The sequence below is a fragment of the Homo sapiens genome, chromosome 5 (genome assembly GCF_000001405.40).
Source record: "Homo sapiens chromosome 5, GRCh38.p14 Primary Assembly".
In the NCBI taxonomy this organism is placed as follows: domain Eukaryota; kingdom Metazoa; phylum Chordata; class Mammalia; order Primates; family Hominidae; genus Homo; species Homo sapiens.
This window is the reverse complement of record NC_000005.10, coordinates 37,376,445-37,394,254: the sequence shown is the minus strand read 5'-3', so window position 1 is coordinate 37,394,254 and position 17,810 is coordinate 37,376,445. Positions and strand designations below refer to the sequence as shown.

General features: G+C 44.9%; 1 protein-coding gene across 4 annotated transcripts in view; it reads right to left on the bottom strand.

Annotated features, from left to right (window-relative positions):
• The window catches only part of WDR70 (WD repeat domain 70), a 374,118-nt gene extending 359,181 nt beyond the window's left edge, over positions 1-14,937 (bottom strand). The window contains exons 1-4 of one of the 4 annotated variants that reach the window (NM_018034.4): positions 14,863-14,937; positions 14,701-14,766; positions 12,570-12,653; positions 2,135-2,255 (exon numbers count right to left, since the gene is read on the bottom strand). In NM_018034.4, coding sequence (NP_060504.1) covers positions 2,135-2,255; positions 12,570-12,653; positions 14,701-14,766; positions 14,863-14,887 — 296 coding nt within the window. In that variant the 5' untranslated portion in view covers positions 14,888-14,937. The remainder of the gene's footprint in view (positions 1-2,134; positions 2,256-12,569; positions 12,654-14,700; positions 14,767-14,862) is intronic. The other 3 variants (NM_001345998.2, NM_001345999.2, XM_047417348.1) reach the window with 3 other exon arrangements.
• Positions 14,938-17,810: the final 2,873 nt, after the last annotated feature.

The following is a 17,810-nucleotide window of genomic DNA, read 5'->3' as shown; positions in this document are numbered from 1 at the left end:
ATGATCTTCGCTCACTCCCCGTCCTGGGTTCAAGTGATTCTCTTGCCTCAGCCTCCCAAGTAGCTGGAATTACAGGCATGAGCCACCACGCCCAGCTAATTTTTGTATTTTTAGTACAGACAGGGTTTCATCATGTTGGCCAGGCTGGTCTCGAACTCCTGACCTCGTGATCCACCCAGTTCGGCCTCCCAAAGTGCTGGGATTACAGGCATGAGCCACCTCCCGCAGCCCTCAAGTATCTTTTTTAACCACAACAAAATAAAACCAAAATCAGGCCAGGCGCAGTGGTTCACGCCTGTAATCCCAGCACTTTTCGAGGTAGAGGTGAGCGGATTGCTTGAGCTCAGGAGTTCAAGACTAGCCTGGGCAACACTGTGAACACCTGTCTCTACAAAAAAATACAAAAATTAGCCAGGCATGGTGGCACACACCTGTAGTACCACCTACTTAAGGGGCTGAGGTGGGAGGATCACTTGAGTCTGGGAGGCGAAGGTTGCAGTGAGTTAAGAATGTGCCACTGCACTCCAGCCTGGGTGACCGAGTGAAACCCTGTCTCAAAAAAAATTAAAAAATCAATAACAAGAGGAACCTTGGAAATTGTACAAATACATGAAAATAAAACAACACGCTTCCAAATGACCAAAGGGTCAATAAAAAAAATTTTTTTTTAATTTCTTGAAACAAAAGAAAATGGAAACAAAACATATCAGAACCTACGGAAAACAAAGAAAACAGTACTAAGAAGGACATTTACAACAATAAACACCTACATAAAAAGTAGAAATACATCAAATAACCTAATGATGTACCTCAAGGAACTAGGCAAAGAATAAAGCAAACCAAAAATTATTAGAGGAAATAAAAAAAATCAGAGCAGAACTACAAATGACATTGACACTAAAAAAAGAATAATAACGCTGGGCGCGGTGACTCACACCTGTAATCCCAGCACTTTGGGAGGCCAAGGCGGGTGGATCACAAGGTCAGGAGTTCAAGACCAGCCTGGCCAACATGGTGAAACCCAGTCTCTACTAAAAATACAAAAATTAGCTGGGCATGGTGGTGGGCACCTGTAACCTCAGCTATTCAGAAGGCTGAGGCAGAGAACTGCTTGAACCCGGGAGGCGGAGGTTGCAGTGAGCTGAGATGGTGCCACTGCACTGCAGCCTGGGCAACAGAGTGAGACTCCAACCCAAACAACAAAAAAAAGAATAACAAAACATCACTGAAACAAACGTTGATTTTCTGACAAGATAAACAACATCAATGTGTTAGGCCATTGTTGCATTGCCAAAAAGAAGTAACTGGGATGCCAGGCACGGTGGCTCACACCTATAATCCCAGCACTTTGGGAGGCTGAGGCGAGCAGATCACGAGGTCAGGAGTTGGAGACCAGCCTGACCAACATGGTGAAACCCCATCTCTACTAAAATACAAAAAAAATTAGCAGGGCATGGTGGCCCACACCTGTAATCCCAGCTACTTGGGAGGCTAAGGCAGGAAAATCACTTGAACCCAGGAAGCAGAGGTTGCAGTGAGCCCAGATCAAGCCACTGCACTCCAGCCTGGGCGAAAGAGCGAGATTCCATCTCAAAAAAAGTAATAACTGGAGGCCAGGCCCAGTAGCTGACACCTGTTATCCCAGGACTTTGGGAGAATGAGGCGGACAGATCATGTCAGGAGTTTGAGACCAGCCTGGCCAACATGGTAAAACCTGTCTCTACTAAAAATACAAGAATTAGCCGGCCGTGGTAGTGCACGTCTGTAGTCCCAGCTACTCAGGATGCTCACGTCTATAATCCCAGCACTTTGGGAGGCTGAGGCGGGTGGATCAACTGAGGTCAGGAGTTCGAGACCACCCTGGCCGATATGGTGAAACCCCATCTCTACTAAAAATACAAAAATTAGCCAGGGGTGGTAGCGCATGCCTGTAATGCCAGCTACTTGGGAGGCTGAGGCAGGAGAATCGTCTGAACCCAGGAGATGGAGGTTACAGTCAGCCAAGATCACGCCACTGCACTGCAGAGGGCGATAGAGCAAGACTCCATCTCAAAAAAATTAAAAAAAAAAAAAAAAACTCTATAAACACCTAGAAACTGATAGTTTAATAGAAGTCTTTCTGAAAATCAGGCACCTGGAAGATGATTTGGAGCAATCTCTGACCACATTTGATCTTGAGGATGTTGGCTCAATATCTTCATTTTGTCTTCTTAATTCTTTCTCTCTGTTCATTTCTTCCTCTTTTTCTCTTGCTTCTGAAAAGATTAAAAAAAGATTAACAAAAAAATCCCAACGGTTACAATTCAAAATATGTTAGTATTAGAAAGGCTAAAAATTAACATAGTCACAAAGATATAACTTAGAGTGTTAGCAGTAACAGCAAAAAATTATCAACCACAGCCACTGGAAAACAGTATGGTGGTTCCTCAAAAAGTTAAACATAGAATTATCACGTGATCCAGCAATTCCACTTCTGGTATATATCCAAAGAAACTGAAAGCACAGTCTAAAAAAGATACTTGTATACCCATGTTCATAAGAACGTCATTCACAACAGCTAAAATGTAGAAGCAACCAAAGTATCCATCTGTAGATAACTGCATTAGCAAAATGTGGTATATCCACATAATGAAATATTGTTCACCCAAAAAGGAAGGAGATTCTGCAATATGCTACAATTTGGATAAACCTTGAGGACACTATGCTAAGTGAGACAGACCACTCACAGAAAAACAAAAAGACGAATATTGTATAATGCCACTTACATGAGGTAATCTAGAGTAGTCAAAGTCAGAGACAAAAAGTAGAATGGTGGTTATCAGAGGCTAGAGGGAGGGGAAATGAAGAATTGTTTAATATGTATAGAGTTTCAGTCTTACAAGATGAACAGTGTTATAGAGATGGATGGTGGTGATGGCTGCACAACACTATGCACTTAAATATTAAGATGGTACATTTTATGTGTATTTTATAACAATTTTTAAAATTAGAAAAAAAATTTATCAACCTAAATGGCCAATGTGGTAAAAGAATTGAACGAAATTACTGCATAGCAATATAATATTAACTGCAGATAATAAAAATAGTGATAGAAAACAGAAATCTGGGGAAATATTAACAGATATGCTAAGCAAAATTAGCATAATGTAGATGGTGATATATTTTTTAAAAAGTATTCAAAGGTGAGATTTTAGGTAATTAACTTTCTAATGTTTTAAAACATAAATTTAGCACTTCTTGGCCAGGCGCAGTGGCTCATGCTTGTAATCCCAGCACTTTGGGAGGCCAAGGTGGGCGGATCACTGGAGGTCAGGAGTTCGAGACCAGCCTGACCAACATGGAGAAACCTCATCCCTACTAAAAATAAAAAATTAGCCAGGCGTGGTAGCGCATGCCTTTAATCCCAGCTACTCGGGAGGCTGAGGCAGGAGAATCGCTTGAACCCGAGAGGTGGAGGTTGTGGTGAGCCAAGATTGCGCCATTGCACTCCAGCCTGGGCAGCAAAAGCAAAACATCATCTCAAAAAAAAAAAAAAAACAGCACTTTTTTTCTGAATTTCCTACACTAGAATTTTGGTCAGAGACTAGCTATCAAAATCATAATAAAATTTATACTACCCGGGTGTGGTGGCTCACGCCTGTAATCCCAGCACTTTGGGAGGCCGAGACAGGCGGATCACGAGGTCAGGAGATCGAGACCATCCCGGCTAACAAGGTGAAACCCCGTCTCTACTAAAAATACAAAAAAATTAGCCAGGCGTAGTGGCCGGCGCCTGTAGTCCCAGCTACACAGGAGGCTGAGGCAAGAGAATGGCGTGAACCCAGGAGGCAGAGCTTGCAGTGAGCCAAGATCGTGCCACTGCCTTCTAGCCTGGGCGACTGAGTGAGACTCGGTCTCCAAAAAAAAAAAAAAAATTTATATTATAGGCTGCTCTGTCTATAAAGTAGCCATTCTTTTATTCCTCTACTTTCCTAATAAACTTGCTTTCACTATATTTAAAAAAAAAACTACTACATTAATTTTCTAGAGTTGTTTACTCTAGAAAGACAAAAAAATATTTAAAATATTAACTTTTTTCCCTCTGATAATCTCACTCTACAATTGTGGGGGCACTAGGAAGAAAAAGGATTATGTATGAATAGTTTGGTTCTCAATTGCCACCATCCTCAATAACCTGAGATAATCTTTAACATTTTTTTCCTTCACTTAATAATGAAATACAATACAATCCAAGTTGAGCAGCAGCAAAGGACACTTATCAAGTGGAATGTTGTATTCTTTAGGGTCTTTAGTTGCTGGGACATGGAGGATGAGGAATAAGCTTACCCAGCAAACATCAACAAGGAATTACATAGTCTTTCATGTCAAATATGGAAGACAAAACCCTCCAGGAAGAGGTAAGGCAAATATTACAGTGCTAGATCATGTTGACTTTTTTGTGTCTTCTGGGCTGAGGCGGGTCAAGAGTCAACAATTCTGCACTCTGATGCTAGAAACTGGAAAAAATTTAAAAAAAAGCAGTGTCCAGATTTAAGAATGGGCCTGTCGGGCACGGTGGCTCACGCCTGTAATCCCAGCACTTTGGGAGGCCCAGGCAGGCGGATCACGAGGTCAGGAGATTGAGACCATCTTGGCGAACACGGGGAAATCCCGTCTCTACTAAAAATACAAAAAAATTAGCCAGGCGTGGTGGCAGCCGCCTGTAGTCCCAGCTTACTCTGGAGGCTGAGGCAGGAGAATGGTGTGAACCCGGGAGGCAGAGCTTGCACTGAGCGGAGATGGCACCACTGCACTCCAGCCTGGGCAACAGAGCAAGACTCCGTCTCAAAAAAAATAAATAAATAAAAAAGAATGGGCCTGAAGCCGGGCGTGATGGTTCACACCTGTAATCCTTGCGCTTTGAGAGGCCGAGGCGGGTGGCTTGCATGAGCTCAGGAGTTCGAGACCAGCCTGGTCTCGACAGGTGAAACCCTGTCTCTACTAAAATACAAAAAATTAGCCAGGCGTGGCGGTGTGCACCTGTAGTCCCAGCTACTCGGGACACTGAGGCAGGAGAATCGCTTGAACCCGGAAGGCGGAGGTTGCAGTAAGCCAAGATAGTACCACCACACTCCAGCCTGGGCCACAGAGTGAGACTCCATCTCCACGAAAAAAAAAAAAAAAAAGAATGGGCCTGCTTAGCTCCTAGTTCACCCTGTTTTTTCAGCCAATCCCTCCAGACCTCGGGGGGTGGCAGCAGCAGCATTTGTACTCTAGGCTCATCTTCTCCCTCAGGTCTTACAGTCAATTATATTACTAATCAGGAAAAGATACTGAGGCTGCCTACTCAGCTGCCATTTCCCCCTTTTTTACTATTATTTTTTTAATAGAGACGGGGTCTCACCATGTTGCCCAGGCTGGTCTTGAACTCCTGGGCTCAAGCAATCCTCCTGCCTCAAGATTTACAAATGTGAGCCACCACACCATGCCAGTCCTCCCTCTTTTTCCCTTAGTTTTTCTTTTTGTTTTTTTTTTTTGAGACGGAGTCTCACTCTGTCACCAGGCGTCAGTGCAGTGGCACAATCTCAGCTCACTGCAACCTTCACCTCCTAGGTTCAAGCAATTCTCCTGCCTAAGCCTCCCGAGCAGCTGGGATTATAGACGCCAGTCACCATGCCCACCTAATTTTTGTATTTTTAGTAGAGATGGGGTTTCACCATGTTGGCCAGGCTGGTCTCGAACTCCTGGCCTCAAGCAATCCACCTGCCTCAGCCTCACAAAGTGTACTAGGATTACAGACATGAGCCACTGTCCCCAGCCTAGTGTAACACTTCTAAAAAAAAAAAAAAGTCTGTATTTCAGCTGGGCGTGGTGGCTCACGCCTGTAATCCCAACACTTTGGGAGGCTGCGGCAGGCAGATCACGAGGTCAGGAGTTCGAGACCGGCCTGGCCAGCATGGTGAAACCCCGTCTCTACTAAAAATACAAAAAATTAGCCGGGCATGGTGGTGCACACCTGTAATCCCAGCTACTCAGGGGGCTGAGGAAGAATTCCTTGAACCTGGGAGGAGGAGGTTGCAGTGAGCCGAGATCGTCCCATTGCACTCTAGCCTGGGCGACAGAGAGAGACTCTGTCTCAAGAAAAAGAAAAAAAAATTTGTATTTCATATGTCCTACACATACTTATAGCTTTCAAGAACATAAAAAACATTAAAAAAAATTTGTACCATTATCATTTCCAGACCCTTCACAGCACATATTTTATTGGGGTTTTACCGTAATTCATCCTTTCCACTAGTGCACTTAGCAACCAAGACAGCTCATACCCCCATATACAGACAAACTTGCTATTAAAAGGGTCAAAGTCTTAGTTTCCTCAAGTGTACTATCAATACCTGGGGAAAGACTCCAATACCAAGCATGAGATAAATAATGCCCATATGAGAATTTTCAACTTTTAAAGAAAAGTAAGTCAAACTGTCTCATGGTAGGAAACTAGGGTTCCCACAACCCCTCTCTTCAATTTCATAATTTGCTAGGACAGCTCACAGGGAATCACTTTTAATTCCACAGTCTAAATGTAATCTAATTGCCAAGTATGGAAGAACACTAAAAAAAAAAAAAAACTCTTATGAATAACTTCCCATATAATGATGAATACTACTTCTATAAATTATCCCAATGGTATTTTCTATTTACATGCTAAAGCTAAGTAGATCTTTCAAAGAGATAATCAATTTAGATTCATGTGTTTAGATCAGAGGTAGAAATTGCAGTCCAAAGATGTAAATCAAGAAAGTTCAATAATTTGTCCACAAAAATCAAAGGAGATCATAGTCTTGAGACAATTTTTCAAAAATTTAAAAATTTAATAACCCCCCAAGTTCCTCTTAGGTAAAATGCATACATGCTTTACTAAGAAAAATTACAAGAATTTAAAATAATATTTATAAAGTACTTTGCTGTTTATAAGCTACTACACCCAACATCTTAATCTCTTCAAGAAACTTCCAAGGTAGATGATACACACACAACAGGATTATGAAGGATCAGAAATTGGAAAATCCATCCAATGTTACTCATCTAGTAGACTGTGGGGCTGGGCCTTAAACCTAGGTCCCCCAATTAAAAATCCCAAGCTCTTTCCAACAGATTGTGCCCATTTTTTTTTTTTTTTAGACAGAGTTTTGCTCTCGTCGCCCAGGCTGGAGTGCAATGGCACGATCTAGGCTCACTGCAACCTCCGCCTCCCAGGTTCAAGCGATTCTCCTGCCTCAGACTCCTGAGTAACTGGCACTACAGGTGCCCACCACCCACACCCGGTTAATTTTTGTATCTTTAGTAGAGACAGGGTTTCATCCCGTTGGCCAGGCTGATCTCAAACTCCTGATTTCAGGTGACCCACCCACCTCAGGCTCCCAAAGTGCTGGGATTACAGGCGTGAGCCACCGTGCCCAGCCCAGATTGTGCCATTTTAAAACATTCTCCAAAGCAGCAAGATTTCATTTTTTAACAAGACAGTATTACAGGTCTAAATTCAATTTAATATTCTCAAAATATTACTGAGAACCTATTTTACAAAGCAAAGTACTAGGGGCTATAAAACTTACATACCCACAAATATATACATCTACTATATACCCACAAAAATTGAAAATAAAAAAATTAAAAATAAAAAGCTTCACTTTGGGAGGTTGAGGCAGGCGGATCACTTGACTTCAGGAGTTTGAGATAAGCCTGGCCAACATGGTGAAACCCTGTCTCTACTAAAAATAAAAAAGTCAGTCAGGTGGTGGTGGCACGTGCCTATAATCCCAGCTACTGGGGAGGCTGAGGCAGGAGAATTGCTTGAACCAGGAGGCAGAGGTTGCAGTGAGCCTAGATTGCACCATTGCCCTCCAGCCTGGGCAACTCAAAAAAATAAATAAGTAAATAACAACAAAAAGCCGACATAGCCAAACAAGACAATCCTTGTTCAAAACATGTTGTATTATATGCTTAAAATGGTAAATACAAGGTACCTATACTGTGATAGTACAAACATTCACTAAATTGTTTAAAACATTTGTAAATGCCTCAGATAGCATGTCTTTGTCCATCGTTTGAGGATATTAAAATTGTTTTTTGATGTGATGATATTGTGGTATAATATGAAATATATTTGGCCAGGTGCAGTGGCTCACTCCTGTAATCCCAGGACTTTGGGAGGCTGAGGGGGGCGGATCATGAGGGCAGGAGATCGAGACCATCCTGGCTAACAGGGTGAAACCCTGTCTCTACTAAAAATACAAAAAAAAAAAAAAAATTAGCCAGGCATGGTGTCCGGTACCTATAGTCCCAGCTACTCAGGAGGCTGAGGCAGGAGAATGGCGTGAACCCGGGAGGCGGAGCTTGCAGTGAGTCGAGATCGCACCACTGCACTCCAGTCTGGGCGACAGAGCAAGACTCTGTCTCAAAAAATATATATATATATTTGGTCTTTGTTTCAGGTTCCTGCCACAGAGCTTCTGAAACCCTTGGAATTTCCTAAGTGATAGGAGCTGTCTCTTGTTATTCATTAGAAGCCCCTTTGGATCCCACCTAAGTTTATGCTATTGAAGTGACTTAGTGCTGGACCCCTAGGCCTCAGGATGGGACTGCTGCTCACTTAAAAAACTGATGGGTTAGATAATTGGAACTTTCATCCCCACCCACCAATCTCTGGAGAAGCTGAAAATTAAGATCTGTAGAAATTTTTTTTTTTTTTTTTTTTTTTTTGAGACAGGCTCTCGCTTTTTTACTCAGGCTGTGATGCAGTGGCATGATCATAGCTCACTGCAGCCTCAACCACTGGGCTCAACTGACCCTCTCACCTCAGCCTCCCAAGTAGTTGGGACTACAGGTGTGCACCACCATGCCCAGCTAATTTTTGTAAGATTTTTTGAATGGGATCTCACTGTGTTAGCCCAGGTTTATCTCAAACTCCTGGGCTCAAGTGATCCTCCTACCTTGGTCCCCCAAAGTGCTGGGATTATAGGTGTGAGCCACTGCACCCAGCCTAGACACTCCTGAACCACTAGATGTGATTAGCTTCAGGGTAGCTGAACACAGGGGTATGCTGGGGAGTTGGTGCACCCAGAGAGGGCACAGAAGCTCTGCACCTCTCCCACCCCATACCTTGCCCAGTGCATTACTTCATCTGGCTGTTCATCTGTATCATTTATAATATTCTTTATAATAAACTGTTAAACGCAAGTAAAGTGTTTCCCTGTGAGCCGTCCTAGCTAATTATCAAACCAAAAAGAGCGGTCATGGGAACCCTGATTTATAGCCAGTAGATTAGAAGCACTGGTCACAACCTGTGAATTGAGATTAGTGTCTGAGTGAAGGCAGTCTTGTGGTAGTCTCCAGGCAGACGGTGTCAGAATTAAACTGAGTTACCGGATACCCAGTTGGAGAACTGGTTGATGTGTGGGGGAAAACTCCTACATATCTGGTGTCAGAAATAAAGTACTGGTTCACACCTGTAATCCTAGCACTTTGGAAGGCCAAGACAGGTGGATCACTTGAGCCCAGGAATTCAAGACTGGCCTGGACAACATGGTGAAATTTTTTTTTTTTTTTTTTTTTTTTTTTGAGACAAGAGTCTCACTCTGTCGCCCAGGCTGGAGTGCAGTGGCAAGATCTCGGCTCACTGCAAGCTCTGCCTCCAGGGTTCACGCCATTCTCCTGCCTCAGCCTCCCAAATAGCTGGGACTACAGGCGCCCGCCACCACGCCCAGCTAATTTTTTGTATTTTTAGTAGAGACAGGGTTTCACCATGTTAGCCAGGATGGTCTCAATCTCCTGACCTCGTGATCCGCCCCTCCCAAAGTGCTGGGATTACAGGCGTGATCCACTGCGCCTGGCCAACATGGTGAAATCTATCTCAACTAAAAATACAAAAAATTAGTGGGGTGTGGTAGCACCAACCTATAGTCCCAACTATTTGGGAGGCTGAGGTGGCAGGATTACCTGAGCCTGGGAAGTGGAGTCTGCAGTGAGGCAAGGTCATGCCACTGCACACCTGTCTAAGCAACAGCAGTGAGACCCTGTCTCAAATAAAAAAAAAAAAAAAAAAAAAGGGGGGAAAGTACTGAGAGGAGTGCTAGAGGATAGGAAACAACTTGGTTTTTCCTATCTCTTACAGGTATCTTGGTTAAGCTTTTTTTAAAACAATCCTTATCGTTTTAAGGTATATACAAAAATATTTATGAGTAAAATGATGTCCAAGATTTGCTTCGAAATCATCTGAAAGGGGAAACGAAGTAATGCTAGCCATGAACTGTTACAGTAGTTAAATCTGATTGATAGGTACATGGTAGTTCATGACTATACTTCCGTGTTTGAAATTTCACATAATAATGAAGGGTTTTGCTGGGTGCAGTGGCTCACACCTGTAATCCCAGCACTTTGGGAGGCCAAGGCGAGTGGATCACGAGGTCAGGAGATCGAGACCATCCTGCCTAACACGGTGAAACCCCATCTCTACTAAAAACACAAAAACAAAATTAGCCAGGCGTGTTGGCAGGCACCTGTAGTCCCAGCTACTCCAGAGCCTGAGGCGGGAGAATGGCATGAACCCGGGAGGCGGAGCTTGCAGTGAGCCAAGATCGCACCACTGCACTCCAGCCAGGGCGACAGAGCGAGACGCCATCTCAAAAAAATAACAATAATAATAATAATGATGGGTTTTGGCCTGGCACAGTGGTTCACACCTGTAATCCCAGCACTTTGGGAGGCCGAGGCGGGCGGATCACCTGAGGTCACAAGTCCGAGACCAGCCTGGCCAACATGGCGAAACCCCGTCTCCACTAAAAATACAAAAAAATTAGCCAGGCGTGGTGGTGGTCACCTGTAATCCCAGCTACTCAGGAGGCTGAGGCAAGAGAATCACTTGAACCCAAGAGGCGGAGGTCACAGTGAGCTGAGATCACGCCATTGCACTCCAGCCTGGGCGACAGAGCAGGCCTCCGTCTCAAATAAAACAAATAATGAAAGGTTTTTTTCAAAAAATAGTACATGTAGATGGCTTTCTTTTCACCACAAAAAGTTTTCTTCCAAAGACTGAAAATATTTTTTGTCAGGCACACTGCCAAATACTGGATATTGCTGCTGTACAACGTTTTATTTTTTATTTTAGTTATTTTGTTTTATATTTTATATTTTATTTTATCTTATTTTATTTTAAGATGGAGTTTTGCTCTTGTCGCCCATTTTATTTTATTTTATTTTTTTTATTTTGAGATGGAGTTTTGCTTTTGTCGCCCAGGCTGGAGTGCAATGGTGCGATCTCAGCTCACCACAACCTCTGCCTCCCAGGTTCAAGCGATTCTCCTGCCTCACCCTCCCTACTAGCTGGGATTACAGGGGCCCAACACCACACCCAGATAGTTTTTCTATTTTCAGTCAAGACGGGGTTTCACCATGTTGGCCAGGCTGGTCACGAACTCCTGACCTTACGTGATTCACCTGCCTCAGCCTCCCAAAGTGCTGGGATTACAGGCATGAGCCATTACACCTGGCCCATTGTTGGTCTTAAAATGATAAATTGGGCCGGGTGCGGTGGCTCACACCTGTAATCCCAGCACTTTAGGAGGCAGGCAGATCACAAGATCAAGAGATCAAGACCATCCTGGCTAACATGGTGAAACCCCATCTCTACTAAAAATACAAAAATTAGCTGGGCGTGGTGGCGTACACCTGTAGTCCCAGCTACCTGGGGGGCTGAGGCAGGAAAATTGCTTGAACCGGGGAGGTAGAAGTTGCAGTGAGCTAAGATCGCACCCCTGCACTCCAGCCCAGCAATAAAGCGAGACTCCATCTCAAAAACAAAACAAAACAAAACAAAAAAACAAAAAGCGGGGCACAGTGGTTCACGTCTGTAATCCCAGCACTTTGGGAGGCCAAGGTAGGCAGATCACAAGGTCAGGAGTTCGAAACTAGCCTGGCCAACACAGTGAAACCCCATCTCTACTAAAAATACAAAAAATTAGCTGGGCGTGGTGGCATGTGCCTATAGTCCCAGCTACTCGGGAGGCAGAGGCAGGAGAATCGCTTGAACCGGGGAGGTGGAGGCTGCAGTGAGCCGAGATCATGCCATTGCACTCCAGCCTGGGCAACAGGGCGAGACTCCATCTCAAAAAAAAAAAAAAACAACAGTGATAAGTAGCATAACAACATTCTTTTCTCTCTTTGTTCTCTGAGATGGAATTTCACTCTTGTCCCCCAAGCTGGAGTGCAATGGGGGTATATCAGCTCACTGCAACCTCTGCCTCCCGACTTCAACTGAAGCCACTGCCTCAGCCTCACGACTAGCTGGGATTACAGGCCCCTGCACCATGCCCAGCTAATTATTGTATTTTTAGTTGAGATGGGGTTTCACCATGTTGGCCAGGCTGGTCTCAAACTTCTGACCTCAGGTGATCTGCCCGCCTTGGCCTCCCTAAGTGCTGGGATTACAGGCATGAGCCACCGCGCCCAGCCAACATTCTTTTCTCTTTTTTAATATACTTGCATGAGGTATACATAGTACTTAAACCAATAAAAGAACAAATATCTGAGCTTCTTACCCAGTGTTTTGCGACTTCTTTCCACAGCTGTCCTTCGAGTTTGTTCAAACATTGCTTCCAAGTCAAATGTGCGAGCTTTTTTACCTAAAACATGAACAAATGGGAGACTGTGATTGTCTTGCAGTAAGTTGGCCAAACTTTAGGTGATCAATACTGATCAATAAACACTTACTTTGTCTAGTTTATAGCATGGCTCCAATATAACCATAATATATCACAGAAGAAGGAGTTTGAGTCACAGAAAACTTCTGCTGACAATCCCTTCACTAAGTACTATTAACCAGGCAACTTTCCCATCCTCCTCTAGATCCCTACCCTATGAAACAACAACACTGATGTGGGGAGGCAAAATGGAGAATGCCCCAAAAGTTACCCTTTGCAATATAATTAAGGTTATGGACTTTTAAATAGGGAAACTATCCTATTTGGCCCTTAAAGGCAAAGATGCAGAACAGCTATGGCAGAAGAAGTCAGAGAGATCCAATGTCTGAGAAGAATTTGAGGCATTATAGTTGGCTTGAAGACGAAAGGGGCAACATGAGAAGTAATGCAGGTACTTTAAGGAGCTAAGAGGGAAACAGAAATCTCAGCCCTCTAACAAGGAACTGGATGAGCATGGAAACATTCTCCTCCTCCCCCAGTAACTTTATCAAAACTCTTAAAATTTTCCCCTATTTGGCACAAACATATGGACAACTTTCTCACTCCTGAGTAAAGGAATGATGTACTAAAATGAAGGATTTATACCGGGTGGGGTGGCTCATGCCTGTAATCACTTTGAGAGGCTCAGGTGGGCGGACTGCTTGAGCTCAGGAGATTGATCAGCCTGGGCAACATGGTGAAACCTCGTCTCTACCAAAAGTATAAAAAATTAGCCAGGTGTGGTGGCACACATCTGTGGTCCCAGCTACTCAGGAGACTAAGGTGGGAGGATGGCTTAAGCCTGGGAGGAGGAGGCTGCAATGAGCGAAGATCGCACTAGTACACTCCAGCCTGGGTGACAGAGCGAGACTCCATCTCAAAAAATAAAAAAAGAATAGAAAAGGCTGGGCACAGTGGCTCACGCCTGTAATCCCAGCACTTTCGGAGGCCGAGACGGGCGGATCACGAGGTCAGGAGATCGAGATCATCCTGGCTAACACGGTGAAACCCTGTCTCTACTAAAAATACAAAAAAAAAATCAGCCGGGCGAGGTGGCGGGCGCCTGTAGTCCCAGCTACTCGGGAGGCTGAGACCGGAGAATGGCGTGAATCCGGGAGGCAGAGATTGCAGTGAGCCGAGATCTTGCCACCGCACTCCAGCCTGGGCGACTGAGCGAGACTCCGTCTCCAAAAAAAAAAAGAATGAATAGAGAAACTACAGAACTAGTATGTGTGAACACAACCCAAGGCCAATATGTGTAAGTCTACTGTTTAATTACTATCATAGAATTAATACACGCTGGTCAAAAGAAAACAAGAAGACCTTGAGAAAAGGTTCAGGGAAGTTAGAATCCCAATGTTTGGATGAACAGCATTTATAATTTTAAAATGGAAAATAAAGAGAAATCATTTTTCATGTATCAGTCTACTAAGTTTTGTTTTCATTTTTTAAATAATTTTCTTTTTAAATAATAATACCTACTCTGTGTTGGTAGGGATATGGTAAAAATGGCATTCTTAATTCTGTTAACTTTGGTATAACCTGGAACAAGTTTTTTGATGGGTATTACGGCAATAAGCATCAAGAAGCTTTAAAAGGCACATACCCAATTTTTCAGCTTTTTAAGTATTTATATTTCTGAATAAACTACACTCTCTTTTAGAAATCTACCCTACCGAATTACGTATTTTTAAAAATCCTCGTACAAATGCTGTTATTTACAAAAATGTTCATTTTAGCATTATTGGTGACTTAAAATTAGAAAAATCCTTTCTCTTCCTCTCTCTCCAGACTCTCATAACTGTCATCTGAGTTGGTTCCAACGGATAACGCAGAATAGAAGACAAATGGGAGAAGAATATTGACAAACTGCAAGGTATGCACCCGAGCTACAATAATTCCGAGTTGACAGCTCGATCTCCACTCCCACTCTGCGGATCTTCAAACCTCTGCACAAGGAAGAGGGTCTCTGCCTGGGGCAGTCACTCACCGAACCCCGTGAAGCCCATGGTGACCGCAAGCTGCGGGTCCGGTCCCGACGCGTCTGAGCCTGTCACTGGAGCAAGAGGAAAAGAGAGGCGGCCTAGTTAGTGCGGCGCCCCAGCTCCCCCGACACGGCCCACCCCGCCCGGACTCGCCTCATGAAACCCACCTTCGCTGGGCCCAGAGCGCTCCATGGCTGGCCGCACACCCCAGAACCAGCCACAGGGACAGCCCAAACAACTGCAGGGGAACTTGCCAATAACTTGCGGCAAATGCTGGAGGAAGTACCGCCTTCAAGCTACAGCGGCGCCGCCGAAGCCAAGAGCGGCGCCTTCCGCAGAGGGACCGCGGCTTTCTGCGCGGCACCGCCCTACCGGACAGGCGGGAAAGCGCCGCGCAACTCAGACCACTGGAGGGGAGAAGTAGTATCTGGAGTTTCTATAACATCCTTTCCCTTTTTTTTTTTTTTTTTTTAAGCCAGAGCCTCTGTCGCCCAGGCTGCAGTACAGTGGCGTAATCTCAGCTGACTGCAACCTCTGCCTCCCGGGATCAAGCGATTCTCCTGCCTCAGCCTCCCGAGTAGCTGGGATTACAGGTGCCGGCTAATTTTTGGTTTTTTGTTTTGGTTTGTTTTTTTTTTGTTTTTGTTTTTGTTTTGAGACGGAGCCTCTGTCGCCCAGGCTGGAGTGCAATGGCGTGATCTCGGCTCACTGCAACCTCCGCCTCCCGGGTTCAAGCGATTCTCCTGTCTCAGCCTCCCAAGTAGCTGGGATTACAGGCGTCCACCACCACGCGCAGCTAATTTTTTGTATTTTTAGTAGACACGACGTTTTGCCATGTTGGCCAGGCTGGTTTCGAACTCCTGGCCTCAAGTGATCCGCCTGCCTCGGCCTCCCAAAGTGCTGGGATTACAGGCGACACCCTTTGCTTTTTTTTTTTTTTTTTTTTTTTTTGAGGCAGAGTCTCACTCTGTTGCCCAGGCTGGAGTGCAATGGCGTGATCTCGGCTCACTGCAACCTCTGCCACCCAGGTTCAAGCTCTTCTCTTGCCTCAGTGTCCTGAGTAGCTGGGATTACAGGCGCCTGCCACCACACCCGGCTAATTTTTGTGTATTTAGTAGAGACGGGGTTTTGCTATGTTGGCCAGGCTGGTCTTGAACTCCTGACCTCAGGTGATCTGCCCACCTTGGCCTCCCAAAGTGCTGGGATTACAGGCCCCGTGCCACCGCGCTCTGCCTTTTTGTTGTTGTTGTTGTTGTTGTTGACTGAGTCTCCCTCTGTTGCCTTGGCTGGAGTGCAGTGGCGTGATCTCAGCTGACTGCAACCTCTGCCTCCCAGGTTCAAGCGATTCTCTTGCCTCAGCCTCCCGAGCAGCTGGGACTACAGGTGTGCGCCACCATGCCCGGCTATTTAGTATTTGAGACTACAGGCACCCGCCACCACGCCCAGCTAATTTTTTCTATTTTTAGTAGAGGCAGGGTTTACACCGTGTTAGCCAGGATGGTCTCAATCTCCTGACCTTGTGATCTGCCCACCTCAGCCTCCCAAAGTTCTGCGATTAAAGGCGTGAGCCACTGCACCTGGCCTGTCAGTCTAAAGTTTACAAGGCTAATCGTGTGCTCAGGATTGTCCTTCTTAAACAGAATGTGGGAGTTCAACACTTTAACGTTTAGAAGGTGGAGAAGAATCTCTTTCTTTTTGAGACAGAATCTCACTCTGTCACCCAGGCTGGAATGCAGTGGCACAATCTCGGCTCAATGAACCTCCACCTCCTGGGTTCAAGCGATTCTTGTGCCTCAGCCTCCTAAGTAGCTGGGATTACATGTGACCGCCACCACACCCGACTTTTTTTTTTTTTTTTGAGACAGAGTCTCGCTCCATTGCCCAGACTGGAGTGCAGTGGCGCGATCTCAGCTCACTGCAACCTCCGCCTCCTGGGTTCAAGCAATTCTGCCACAGCCTTGCGAGTAGCTGGGATTACAGGCCCTGCCACCACCCCTGGCTAATTTTTGCATTCTTAGTAGAGACAGAGTTTCACCATGTTGGCCAGGCTGGTCTCAAACTCCTGACCTCAAGTGATATGCCCGCCTCAGCCTCCCAAAGTGCTGGGATTACAGACGTGAGCCACTGTGCCCGGCCTAATTTTTGTATTTTTTGTAGAGATAGGGTTTCATCATGTTGCCCATGCTGGTCTTGAACTCCTGAGCTCAAGCGATCCACCCGCCTCAGCCTCCCTAAGTGCTAGGATTACAGGCGTGGGCCACTGCACACAGCCTATGAAAGAATATCTTATACCAAACCTTGTACCTTTGGCGCTAAGCTGGATAAGAAGTGAGCATCTGATCAGCCAAGTCCACTGCTCCCATATTATCGTTATAATCCACAATGACACATGGCTTCTTAGTTTTCTTTCCATCTGTTGTCTACTTCAATCACAGTATCATTGTGGAATATTGACAACATTGTGACTGCCTTGTTGTCACACCATTTCAGTGCCATAAGTTCACCATGGAATTAACATCACACATAGGAATGCTATGTTTTCTAGGATTTGACATTTTCAGCAGTCGAGAATTACTATATTTTGTAAATGGAAATTCCACTACTAAAAACAGAATGCTATAAATAGAATAATGTCTTTTGTTTCCAAAGTCAATATAATAGAGTGATGCAAAAATAATAAAATAGTAGACACAAACTTTGGGGGTTAAGTCGGGACTGTAATCTGTGAGTTATCTTGGGGTAAAGGCTGCAGCTGCAAGCACCATCAGAGAGTATTCTCAGGGAAAATGGGAAATGGGTTAACAGTGGGTAAATCTACGGTGCCTGTAGTGTATTCGTTTTTTTGTTTTTTTGGTTTTGATACAGAGTCTCGCTGTTGTTGCCCAGGCTGGATTGCAATGGCGCAATCTTGGCTCACTGCAACCTCTGCCTTCCAGGTTCAAGCGATTCTCCTGCCTCAGCCTCCTGAGTAGCTGGGATTACAGGCATGCGCAACCAGACCGGCCAATTTTTTTTGTATTTTTAGTAGAGATGGGGTTTCCCCATGTTGGTCAGGCTGGTGTCTAACTCCTGACCTCAGGCAATCTGCCGGCCTCGGCCTCCCAAAGTGCTGGGA